This window comes from Homo sapiens, chromosome 4 (genome assembly GCF_000001405.40).
Source record: "Homo sapiens chromosome 4, GRCh38.p14 Primary Assembly".
In the NCBI taxonomy this organism is placed as follows: Eukaryota; Metazoa; Chordata; class Mammalia; order Primates; family Hominidae; genus Homo; species Homo sapiens.
In genome coordinates this window covers 86972253-86985004 of record NC_000004.12, presented here as the reverse complement: position 1 = coordinate 86985004, position 12752 = coordinate 86972253, and the positions used below count along the sequence as shown (strand labels likewise).

Here is a 12752-nt window from a genome sequence, read left to right as displayed (position 1 = left end):
CAAGTACAATAATAATACCAATACCATTACTAAACATGTTTGCTGAGAACACTTTAAGATTTGTCTTTTTTATTTTTATTTTTTTAGATGGAGTCTCATTCTGCTGCCAGGCTGGAATGCAGTGGCATCATCACAGCTCACTGCAGCCTCAGCCTCCTGGGCTCAAGCAATCCTCCTGCCTCAGAATCCCAAGTAGCGGGACTATATGCCCAGCTACTTTTTAAAATTTTTTATATAGACAAGATATTGCTATGCTTCGCAGGCTGATGTCAAACTCCTGGACACAAGCAATCCTCCCACCTCAGCCTCCCAAAGTGCTGGGATAACAAGCTTAAACCACTGTATCCAGCTTTCTTTCTTTTTCATCCTTAAGATGTATCTTGGCCAGGCACAGTGGCTCATGCCTGTAATCCTAGCACTTTGGGAGGCCGAGGCGGGCGGACTGCCTGAGCTCAGAGTTCGAGACTAGCCTGGGCAACACGGTGAAACCCTGTCTCTACTAAAACACAAAAGAAATTAGCTGCACATGGTGACGTGCGCCTAGTCTCAGCTACTCGGGAGGCTGAAGCAGAATTGCTTGAATCCAGGAGACAGAAGTTGCGTGAGCTGAGATTGCACCACTGCACCTCAGCCTGGGCAACAGAGCAAGACTCAGTCACAAAAAAAAAAAAAAGAAAAAAAAATGTCACTTGGAAAAAAAAAAGGGTCACTTGAAATACAGTTCTCACTTTGAAAAATAGTGCAGGACCATAGAAACGACTATGAAAGCCGAAACTGTGCCAAACAACCTTAATCATCAACAGGAAAAATTACGATTGTCCACAGCATTTACAAATTTCTGTCAAAATGCTAATAATTCTGTCACTTACACATTTATAAAGAAATGAAAAAAGTAATATTTAGTAGGCTATGATTTAAAACACTAGATACATTGGCAAAGCATTTCTTTTTTCTTTTTCTTTTTTTTTGAGATGGAGTCTCGCTCTGTCACCCAGGCTGGAGTGCAGTGGCGCCATCTCAGCTCACTGCAAGCTCCACCTCCCGGGTTCACACCATTCTCCTGCCTCAGCCTCCCGAGTAGCTGGGACTATAGGCACCCACCATCACGCCTGGCTAATTTTTTGTATTTTTAGTAGAGACGGGGTTTCACCGTGTTGGCCAGGATGGTCTCGATCTCTTGACCTCGTGATCCACCTGCCTCGGCCTCCCAAAGTGCTGGGATTACAAGCGTGAGCCACTGCGCCTGGCGACAAAGTATTTTATTTGTTTTTTGTTTTTTTTTTTGGTTTTTCATTTGAGACAGAGTCTTGCTCTGTCACCCAGGCTAGAGTGCAGAGGCGCCATCTCGGATCAATGCAACCTCCACCTCCGGGGTTCATGCAATTCTCAGTAGCTGAGATTAAAGACGTGCACCACCATGCCCAGCTAATTTTTTATATTTTTAGTATTTTTATTTTTTAATTTTTTTATTTTTTGAGACACAGTCTCGCTCTTGTTGCCCAGGATGGAGTGCAATGGCGTGATCTCGGCACACTGCAACCTCTGCCTCCTCCTGGGTTCAAGTGATTCTCCTGCCTCAGCCTCCTGAGTAGCTGCGACTACAGGCATGTGCCACCATGCCCGGCTGATTTTATATTTTTAGTAGAGACGAGGTTTCTCCATGTTGGTCAGGCTGGTCTCAAACTCCGACCTCAGGTGATTCTCCCACCTTGGCCTCCCAAAATGCTGGGATTACAGGAGTGAACCGCTGTGCCCAGCCTTAGTTTTAGTATTTTTAGTAGAGAGAGGGTTTCATCATGTTGGCCAGGCTGGTCTTAAACTCCTGACTTCAAGTGATCTGCCAGCCTTGGTCTCCTAAAGTGCTGGGATTACAAGCTTGAGCCCACTGTGCCTGGCCTGACAAAGTATTCTATTTCTTTGTGTCTTAGTCTAACTCAGGCTTATAAAACAAAACACTAAAAACTGGCTTGCTTATAAACAACAGAAATTTATTTCTCACAGTTCTGGAGCTGGGAAGTCCAAGAGCAAGGCACAAGCAGATTCAGTGTCTGGTAAAGGCTCACTTCCTGGTTAAAAGAAGGCGTCTTCTACCTGTGCCCTCACACAGTGGAAGGGGCAAACAAGCTTCCTTTTTTTTTTTTTTTTTTTTTTTTTTTGGAGACAGAGTCTTACTCTGTCGCCCAGACTGGAGTGCAGTGGCACGATCTCGGCTCACCACAACCTCCGCCTCCTGGGTTCAAGCGATTCTCCTGCCTCAGCCTCCAGAGGAGCTGGGATTACAGAGACCTGCCACCACGCCTGAATAATTTTTTTTGTATTTTTAGTAGAGACAGGGTTTTGCCATGTTGGCCAGGCTGGGCTCAAACTCTTGACCTCAGGTGATCTGTCTGCCTTAGCCTTCCAAAGTGCATGAGCCACCACGCCCAGCCCAAGTTCTTTTATAAGGGCACTAATCCCATTCATGAAGGTTCCACCCTCATGACCTAATCACCATCAAAGGCTCCACCTCTGAATACTGTCACTCTGGGGGTTAGAATTTCAACATATAAATTTGGGAGGGGGATACAAACAGACTACAGCACTTTGTAAAAAAAAAAAAAAAAAAAAAAAAAAAAAGCCAATTTTTTTTCTTTGAACAGCGCTTGCCTTCTTCTTGTCATATAATTTCTGACACAATGTGAACATCTTTTCTTTGCCTTAGCAAACTGTTGTACTCCCTGCTAAGTATGGATCAACTTCCAACATTGAATCCTTTGCTCCTTCAATGTGGTAAAATCTCTCTGCAAGTTTCTCTAATACAAAGTGTTTGTGAGGCACCACTTCCTCTGGGACATCTTCATCCTTTTCCTCACAATGACTTTCCTCATTTATATCAGTAAGTTGACTTTCAGTAAATTTCTTCACTGCACATTCCCACAGTCAGCTATTTCTTCTGTAACTTCATTAACATTCTGCAGAATCTCACTTCAGTGCTGTCACTTCTCATTTATTTCCCGTGCTTTGATCTCTGTTGGCGAATTTCCTCTTTTGGTGATCCATTTATGTAAAATATCACATGGGTTTATTACTGGGAGACAGGCAACACAACTACACGCCTTGCTGTCTGTGTATAAACTGAAGAGCAGATGTTAGTGACCAGTCACCAACAGGCTTTAAGAGGAAGAGAATGACTGGTTAGAGATCGTGATGCACGTCTGTTATTTATAAAGTGATTTGTGGTATAACAAGCTAGAAGCAAACTTTGTGCTTTATGAAATTGCACAGTTAATAAACTGTCCTAACTGAAATCTGAACCACCGTGTTGGGGGCTGGAGCTATTTAAAACATAGTAACTAGGCCAGGGGTCCTGGCTCATACCTGTAATCCCAGCACTTTGGGGAGATCGAGACAGGTGGATCCCTTGAGGCCAGGAGTTTGAGACCAGCCTGGTCAACATGGTGAAATCTCATCTCTACTAAAAATACAAAAATTAGCTGGGCATGGTGGTGGGTGCCTGGAATCGCAGGCTACTCCAGAGGCTGAGGCAGGAGAATTGCTTGAACCTGGGAAGTGGAGATCACAGTGAGCCGCGATCACACCACTGCACTCCAGCCTGAGCAACAGAGTGAGACTCCATCTCAAAAATAAAGAAAATAAATAAACCATAATAACTGAAATTTGTGCATATCAGAACTATACAAAGCAAGGCCTGCCTACAATTCCTACATAATCAACTTAAAAAACTGTTAAGTTTGGGAGGCTGAGGCAGGCAGATCACGAGGTCAGGAGATCGAGACCATCCTGGCTAACATGGTGAAGCCCTGTCTCTACTAAAAACACAAAAAATTAGCCGTGCTTGGTGGTGGGCACCTGTGGTCCCAGCTACTCAGGAGGCTGAGGCAGGAGAGTGGCGTGAACCTGGCAGGCAGAGCTTGCAGTGAGCCGAGATTGTGCCACTGCACTCCAGCCTGGGCGACAGAGCGAGACCCCGTCTCAAAACAAAACAAACAAACAAACAAAACACTGTTAAGTTCATTTGTTCATTGTTACTTTCCTTTTTTTTGGTGGAGGGGGGGGGTGCCTCAAGCCTCGCAAAGTGCTGGGATTATAGGCGTGAGCCACCACACCTGGCCATTACTTTCAACTTTTAAAGGATAAGTTCCTCCCTCAACTTTTTAAAATGTTATTTCATAATTATATATCACATTTAATAGTTCCAAAGTAAGCCACAAAGCAAGGTACATTCAGGAAAGTCTAGCTTCTATCGTTCTCTCCTCCATCTGTTCTCTTCAATCAGTTTTTAAGTTTGCTTTCTATTCGTTATTCTTTTAATATAAGCAAATGAATGCACATTTTCATTTTTTTCTACCCTTACTAAAGGTAGCATTATTGTACATGTTGTCCTATACCTTACTTTAAAAAATAATATCTCTTAGAGATTATGCAACAGTAGAAAATAGTCCATTTCCTTTTACAGGTATATTAATACTCTAGTGTGTTGAAATCCCAAATGGGTTTCCTTTTTTATTTTCTTAGAGATGGGGTCTCACTACAATGCCCAGGCTGGAATGCAGTGGCTATCCATCTGGCATAATCACAGCACACTGCGGCCTCAAACTATACTACCACCTTAGACTCCCAAGTAATTGGGATTACAAGGCATGTACCGCCATGCCCAGCTGGGTTTTTTAAGCCAACTCTTTATTGATATTTAGATTTTTCCACTCTTTTGCTATTACATATAGTTTGTAATGAATAGACTTCTGGACATTTTTTTCATATTTTGCCAGTGTATCTTAGAGTTAGATTCCTAGGGGCCAGGTGCAGTGGCTCACACCTGTAATCCCAGCACTTTAGGAGGCAGAGGCAGGTGGATCACTGGAGGCCAGGAGTTCAAGACCAGTCTGGCCAACATGGTAAAACCCCATCTCTACTAAAAACACAAGAATTAGCCGGGTGTGGTGGCACATGCCTGTAGTCCCACCTACTCGGCAGGCTGAGGCAGGAGAATCACTTGAACCCAGGAGGCAGAGGTTGCAGTGAGCTGAGGCCACGTCACTGCACTCCAGCCTGGGCAACAGAGTGAGACTCTGTCTCAAAAGAGTTAGATTCCTAGGGAGATAGATTTCTAGAAGTGAGCCTGGCTGACCAAAGGGTAAATGCAAATGTTATTTTGCTACATATTGTCAAATTCTCCTAATACAGTCATAGTATTTTGCGTTCCCACCAGCTATGTATGTAAGCACAGTATCTTCCCCCTACAACCTTTTCAATAAGACATGTTGTCAAACTTTATTTTTTGCCACTCCGATAGACAAGATATGATAGCTAAATGTAGTTTTCATTTGCATCTCTCTTTTTATGCATGACTGAGTATCTTTTCATATTAAAGGAGCATTTAAAAGTGTAGCTGTTCTGACAGGTTTGATATTTTAAAATAAGAACTTTCAAATAAAATTTTCACAAAGATAAAAAGGACTATTGAAATCCTCCTTAAAAATCTGAGTAATTTAAAAACTCTCCCACCCCCACATAGGTTTTATTCGTATCAGTTCATCTAATCAACACCTATTTATTGAGGATTTTGCTACAGCAGGAGCTTCCCAGTGTGTTAAGAGAAGCAGGGGCAGGCTGGGCAGTGGCTCATCCCTGTAATCCCAGCACTTTGGGAGGCCGAGGCGGGAGGATCACCTGAGGTCAAGGAGTTCGAGACCAGCCTGGTGAACATGGCAAAACCCCGTCTCTACTAAAATTACAAAATTCAGCCGGGCTTCGTGGCACATGCCTGTAATCCCAGCTACTCGGGAGGCTGAGGCAGGAGAATGACTTGAACTCAAGAGGCGGAGGTTGCAGTGAGTCGAGATCACGCCACTGCACTCCAGCCTGGGCGACAGAGCAAGATTCTGTCTCAAAAAAATAAAAAGAGAGGCAGAGGCAAAGGAGACGGTATTCAGTGATTCCAGTGGTTTGAAGACCACTGGAGTTGAGAGTACATGAGGCAAACTTTCAATGGGGAACACTTCATTGGACCACTAGAGGAATAGTTTTCTGGGCTTTAGAGACAGTCTGAGCAAAGAGTTATACCTGGTCAAAACAGAACAAGCCTGTTTTCTATTTAAAAAGGGAAGTGGGAGATAAGGTGAGCTACAAGTGCTAGAAAATTATGGTGGGAAAAGCAGAGACAGACTAACCAAATGTTTAGAAATACTGCTGTAATAAAACCTTGTAACTAGGCACCTCCAGTAAAACATAATACGCAACACTGATTACAAAGTAAATCCAAGAAAAGGTAGCAAGAGCTCATGAAGGTCTTCTGGCTACAGACAAGGATATATCCCACCTTAAGTGGAATCATTTCTACTCAGGATTAAAATCCAAGAAACAAGCAGGCTCACTATGAAACTTTATATTATATTGGTTGCACCACTGCACTCCAGCTTGGGCAACAGAGCAAGACCCTGTCTCCAAAAGAATAAAAATTTAAAAAGAAACTACACTATGAAATTTACTAGACAGATTCTATCATAATATAAAAGTGAATGTAGGCCGGGCATGGTGGCTCACACCTATAATCCCAGCACTTTGGGAGGCCGAGGTGGGTGGATCATGAAGTCAGGAGTTCAAGACCAGCCTGACCAATATGGTGAAACCCCGTCTCTACTAAAAATACAAAAATCAGCTGGGCATGGTGGCACGCGTCTGTAGTCCCAGCTCTTCGGGAGGCTGAGGCAGGAGAATCGCTTGAACCCAGGAGGTGGAGGTTGCAGTGAGCCGAGGTTGTGCCACTGCACTCCAGCCTAGCTGACAGAGCGAGACTCCATCTCAAAAAAAAAAAAAAAAAAAAAAAAGTGAATGTAATGAGAAGTAAGAGAAGTAAGCTACCATCAATGAGACATCATTTTAAAAAAATTCTAACATTCTTTGATTGAAATAATTATGCTTCTAAACAAAAGCCCAAATACAACTAAACCACATCATAGCTTATTTCTCATTAAACCTATCAGCAACCATTTACCATCTTCCTTCCACCCACGATTAAGTCAACACAACCCAGGGCAGAGTACACGTCTGACTCATCTATGTATCCCCTCACAGCACAGTGTGCAGTAGGCACTCGATAAATACTTGGTGTGTGAAACAAAGAAAACACTCTCCCATAGCAACGTGCCCAGACTCTTCTATGGGAGGACCTTTCTCCAGAATTATGTTAGGGCAACTCCCTGGTAAACCTTTCAAAGCAATTCAACAAACATTTATTGAGTGCCCAGTATGTGCCAGTGTTAGGTACTATTCTTGGCAATGGGATGTAAAGATGAGTAACACATAGTCCTTAACACCCTGAGGGGACCCAGTCTAGTATGAGAAACACAGACTATAAAATACAATAGGAAAACGCCACAGCAGAGATAAGACACCATGGGAACACAGGTGAAGGAACAGGTAATTATGCAGGGGGTGAGGGAAAAAGGTGAGGTTGGAGAATCCACAGAAATGCAATTCCAGCCCCCTCCTAACACACATGCTCACACTCCCTCTAAAACAATACAGAAGCCCCCCTTATCTGCAGTTTCACTTTCCATGGTTTCAGTTACCCACAGTCATCCAAGGTCTAAAAATATTAAATGGAAAATTCCACAAATAAGCAATTCATAAGTTTTAAATTGCACACAATTCTAAGTAGTGTGATGAAATTTCTCGCTGTCCTCTCCGTCCCACCTGGGACGTGAATCATCCCTTTGTCCAGTATATCTACACTACAGATACTACTCACCTGTAAGTCACTCAGTAGCTGTTTCAGTTATGAGATTGAAAATACATACTATATAGTGTATAGGGTGCAGTACTATCTGTGACTTCAGGACTCACTGGGGGTCTTAGAATGTATCTGTCTCATATGGGGGGACTACTTACTGTATTTGAAAAACAGAAACATGATCAAGTTATTCCACTGCAAATAGGCCTTCATGGATTTCCAACAGGTCAAAGATTATTTCCATGCAATAAAATGCCCACAGGCACCATCACCTGCATTTATTGGGCACTTGCTGTGTGCCAGACATTGTTCCAAGAATTTCCTAAGTATTAAGTTACTTAATCACTACAATAACCTGACAAGGTAGGTGCTATCATCATTTCAGTGTTACAGATGAGGAAACTGAGGCACAAAGAGTTACAAACCTTGCCCTAGACATCAGGTATGGGCATGTGAGACACCGAGGTAGGCACCCAGTTCTGGCTCCAGAGCCCATTTCTTTTTCTTAACTTTTACTTTAGGTTCAGGGGTACACATGCAAGTTTGTTATACAGGTAAATTGCATGTTGTGGGAGCTTGGTGCACAGATTATTTCGTCACCCAGGTAATAAGCATAGTACATGTTAGGTCATTTTTCAATCCTCCCCCTCCATCCTCTGGTAGGGCCCTGGGGTCTGTTGTTCCCTTCTTTCTGTCCATATGTACTTGATATTTAGCTTCCGCTTGTGAGAACATGTGGTATTCGGTTTTCTGTTTCTGAGTTAGTTTGCTTAGGATAATGACCTCCAGCTCCATGCACATTGATGCAAAGGACATGATCTCATTCTTTTTCATGGGTGCGTGATATGACATGGTGTATATGTACCACATTTTCTTTATCTAGTCTACCACTGGCACCTAGGTTGATTCCATGGTTGATTCCATAATGCGGAGCGCCTTTCTACACCACCCACCTCTCTGCCTCCTTACCTGCCTCTGGGCTCCTTGCAATGCAAAATGCCAGTAATAATACCAGAATGTGAGTATAGATGTGTTAAATACTGTGAACACAACCCAAATTGTTTTAAACCTCTGTGCTTCTGCATGGAAAGCCCTACAGCCAACCCTCCCCACATCCTTCCACTGCAGGGCAATAAAAACTCTGTGTGCCCCTCCCACTACAGAAGTTCCCTTCCTTGTTACATCCCTCCATCATTGAACTTAACACACTGTATTATAACCATTCATTTACATTTACACTTCTTCTCGTAGGCCTGCTATACTCACCCTATAATAATTATTATATGATACCGTAATTACTTGTTTAAATGTCTTTTTTAAAATGTCACCTCCTCAAAGAGGCCAATCCTGACCCTCCTCTTTATCTAAAATTGATCTTCATGCCCTCTCAAGTCACTTGTTTTCTCAGATCAAAGGGGCTTTTCCCCCTTCACAGTACTTCTCATAGGTCAATTTTAAATATTTGACTTCTGTCTCCCCCAATACAACATACACCTTATGGGGGCAAAAGAATAACTGTGTTTTATTTGTCACTGTATTTTCAACACCTAACTCTGATAAGGAGGTAGTATTAAGTGTTTATATACCTGCATCCTTGTATTAGTTCCTTGGGGGGAGAAAAAAAAGGCTGTCTTAATGAGTTTTGTATCCTCAACACACAGCATGTGGGAAAACCTCAATAACTATTTGTTGGACTGAAACCAAATAAAGATTAAGGTGGAAGACTGAGCACAGTGGCTCACACCTGTAATCCCAGCACTTTGGGAGGCCGAGGCAGGAGGATCACTTGAGACCAGGAGTTCGAGACCAGCCTGGGCAATGTTGTGAAACCTCATCTCAACAAGAAATATAAAAATTAGCTATGTGTGGTGGTGTGCACCTGTAGTCCCAGCTACTTGGGAGGTGGAGGTGGGAGTATGGCTTGAGCCCAGGAGGTCAAGGCTGCAGTGGGTAGAGACTGCACCACTGCACTCCAGCCTGGGTAACAGAGTGAGACGCTATCTCAAAAACAAAACAAACAAAAAAAGAGGTTAAGGTGGGATAAATAGGATTTCCCTAAAAAAACAAAGTAGTGTCGGAAGGGACCAATATGGTCAGAAACACAGAGGAATGGGAAAACATGGCTTTTGGGGGAAAGGAGCAAAAACTGAGGTTGTATTATAGGGTGCACAAGAGAGAAGTAGGAAAAGCACTAAAGAGATAAGTGCGTATTGGGTTGCAAAGAGACTTGCAATAGTTTTCTTTAGGGAGCATAATGATCTATTAGGGAGTTTTTCAAGCAGTCATGGTTTTACAAAAATCTTTATAGCACGGACACAGGGGGATGGAAGAGGCAACAGTTAGCTGGAGAATATCACTCATAAGATGAAAGAGGGTAAGGAAAAAGCCTAGAATTTGAAACCAGAAACGATGGCAAAATACCTTCACCACAAACCGACAACTTGGTTTTTGTATTACGACGCCCGTTTTAGTCACCAAAGCTCTTTTCTGAATTTAACTTAACGTGAGCAAAACACCGTGTACAGCTCTTTATGTATGAAATGTTTTCCTGTGATTTCACAACACTGGCCTTTAAAATATTTTACATGACTATTGCTAATTAGAAAAAATACCATCCTTTCAGGAAATCAGAAGTTAGCAATTTTGGATGGCATTTCCTGTCTAATACCTTCATCTGCACTTCAAATCTTGGAAAAACAGCAGCTTCATAGCAACCAGTTACAATGGCAGAACAGCCACAGAAGGAGAATATATTTAATATAAATCCCTGCATTTAAACAAACTAAAAAGTTTAAGAAGGATAAAATTTAAATAAATGAGTTGGGCAGGGCATGTTGGCTCAAGACTGTATAATCCCAGCACTTTGGGAGACCGAGGCAGGCGCATCCTGAGGTCAGGAGTTAGAGTCCAATCTGGCCAACATGGTAAAACCCCGTCTCTACTAAAAATACAAAAAAATTAGCCCGGCGTGGTGGCATGTGCCTGTAACTCCAGCCACTTGGGAGGCTGAGGCAGGAGAATCACTTGAAGCTGGGAGGCAGAGGTTGCAGTGAGCCAAGATCACACCACTGCACTCCAGCCTGGGCAACAGAAGCGAAAGCACCATCTCAAAAATAAATAAATAAATAAGTTGAATTCTGCCATAGCACTGCTCCAAGTAAGATGGCATGACCCAAAGGGCCCCAAAAGAAAAAGAATTACCAGGGTTCTCATTAGAAAGATTTCATCCGTGACACTTTGCTGTTTTCTATGATCCTTTAACACTTTATTTGCTCTTCTGCTAGAGCGTTTATCACATTGTTTCACAATCTGGCTGTGTGCTTATCTGCCAGGTTAAACAGAACAGGGACTCCCATTTTTCTATTCTCGTATTCTCTCCCATAGGTCATCTTTGATCTATCAGATTTTAAGGCATCATCTGACAGCAGATCTTCAATAAGTATCTGTGGCATGAAGGAAAAGGGAAAGGAAAAGGGAAAGGAAAAAGGAAAGGAAGAAAGGAAGAAAAGAAAAAAAAGAAAGGAAAAGAGAAAAGAGAAAGGAAAAAAGAAAAGAAAAGAAAGAAAACGTTAACTCTGGAAAAGGCAGGTCCTCATAATAAACATTTGCTGAGTCTAGGTAAGAAATCAGCAGACCTGTTATTTGGATACTTCCTTTCTCTTTACCAAATCAATCTGCTTCCAGAAATAAATAAGGAAAAAGACAAGTTGCTACACCAGTCCAAATTCAATACATTAAAAAATTTTGGCCATACCATAACCTACATACTTCCTTTTTTCTCTACCGTAAGGGGTGTAGTAATTTAAGGGGGAAAAAAATTAAGAGACCAACTGAGGCAGAATTGAGAAGCCCAATGTAAAATTCAGCATAAACTACCAAGCAATTCTGCAGATTATGTCTATAGTACACCACACCGAAACCTCACCCTCATCCTGCCCCCTTATACAAAAGGCTGCAGCACCCAGGTGTTAACGGGCATGGGATCCAACCAAACTGGTCTCTCCACCTCCAGCTCTGCCAATGCTAATCCACTCCACAGTTGGCTGCCAAAGGAACCTCCCTACAGCACAGCCTGGGATCAACAGGCCCCAAGTGAAATAATCTTCCCCCACCCTTCACTGCCTCCGTGCAGCAGTGCACTCCAAGTTGATTGCAACACCAAGGTCAGAAGCCACAAGCAGTATCTTTGACCCCCTCCCCACACACACAAACTCTTACAAATCCCAGAGATTGTCCTTTTTCAGTTTCTTCTCTCCCTTTCCTTTTCTTGTTCACCCTGCTTTCAATCCCTCTTCTAGGGCTACTAGCCCTAACCTAGATCAGCTATAACCAACAGAAATATAATGGGGGTTACTAATGCACTTTTAAATTTGCAAGTAGCCACATTAAAAAGGTAAAAAACGAAAGCAGTGGAATAAATCTAAATAATATTAGGCCAGGTGTGCTAGCTCAGGCCTGTAATCCCAGCACTTTGGGAGGTAGATATGGGCAGATCACTTGAGGCCAGGAGTTTGAGACCAGCCTGGCCAACATAGCAAAACCCTGTCTCTACTAAAAATTCAAAAAAATTAGCTGGGTGTAGTGGTGCACGCCTGTAATCCTGGCTACTTGAGAGGCTGAGGCAAGAGAATCACTTGAACCCAGGAGATGGAGGTTACAGTGACCTGAGATCACACCATAGCACTCCAGCCTGGGCAATACAGTGAGGCTCTGTCTCAAGATAAATTAAAATAAATATAATATTAAATTTATAACCCAAAACTGTCTTCATTTTAACTTGTAATTAAAGTTGTTGAGATATTTCACATTTTTTTCCCAGTCTTTGAAATCTGTATTATACCATGACATCTCTACTCTAACCAGCCACATTTCAAGTGCTCAGAAGTCACATATGGCCAATGACTACCATAGTAGACAGTTCAGGCTTAGATGGAATGGTTCCATCTACTTTTCCCACTGCCTTCCTCTTTCTTTTCTCTTAAAAATACTTTAACCTCAGCTATAACAGACCATTCTGGTA

The 12752-nt window shown here is 42.5% G+C and overlaps 1 protein-coding gene across 9 annotated transcripts in view, besides 2 other annotated features; it reads right to left on the bottom strand.

Annotated features, from left to right (window-relative positions):
- Positions 1-12752, bottom strand: part of AFF1 (ALF transcription elongation factor 1) — a 206029-nt gene that overhangs the window by 156035 nt on the left and 37242 nt on the right. The window lies entirely within an intron of this gene.
- Positions 10894-11188: a silencer, noted in NCBI's record as "identical tiled regions #10097 and #5096; HepG2 Repressive DNase unmatched - State 5:Enh, and K562 Repressive DNase matched - State 8:EnhW". NCBI's record gives its function as "represses a minimal TATA promoter and a strong SV40 promoter by Sharpr-MPRA in HepG2 and K562 cells {active_cell/tissue: HepG2 | K562}" and the evidence as "EXISTENCE:reporter gene assay evidence [ECO:0000049][PMID:27701403]".
- Positions 11734-12028: an enhancer, noted in NCBI's record as "tiled region #12874; HepG2 Activating DNase unmatched - State 1:Tss". NCBI's record gives its function as "activates a minimal TATA promoter and a strong SV40 promoter by Sharpr-MPRA in HepG2 cells {active_cell/tissue: HepG2}" and the evidence as "EXISTENCE:reporter gene assay evidence [ECO:0000049][PMID:27701403]".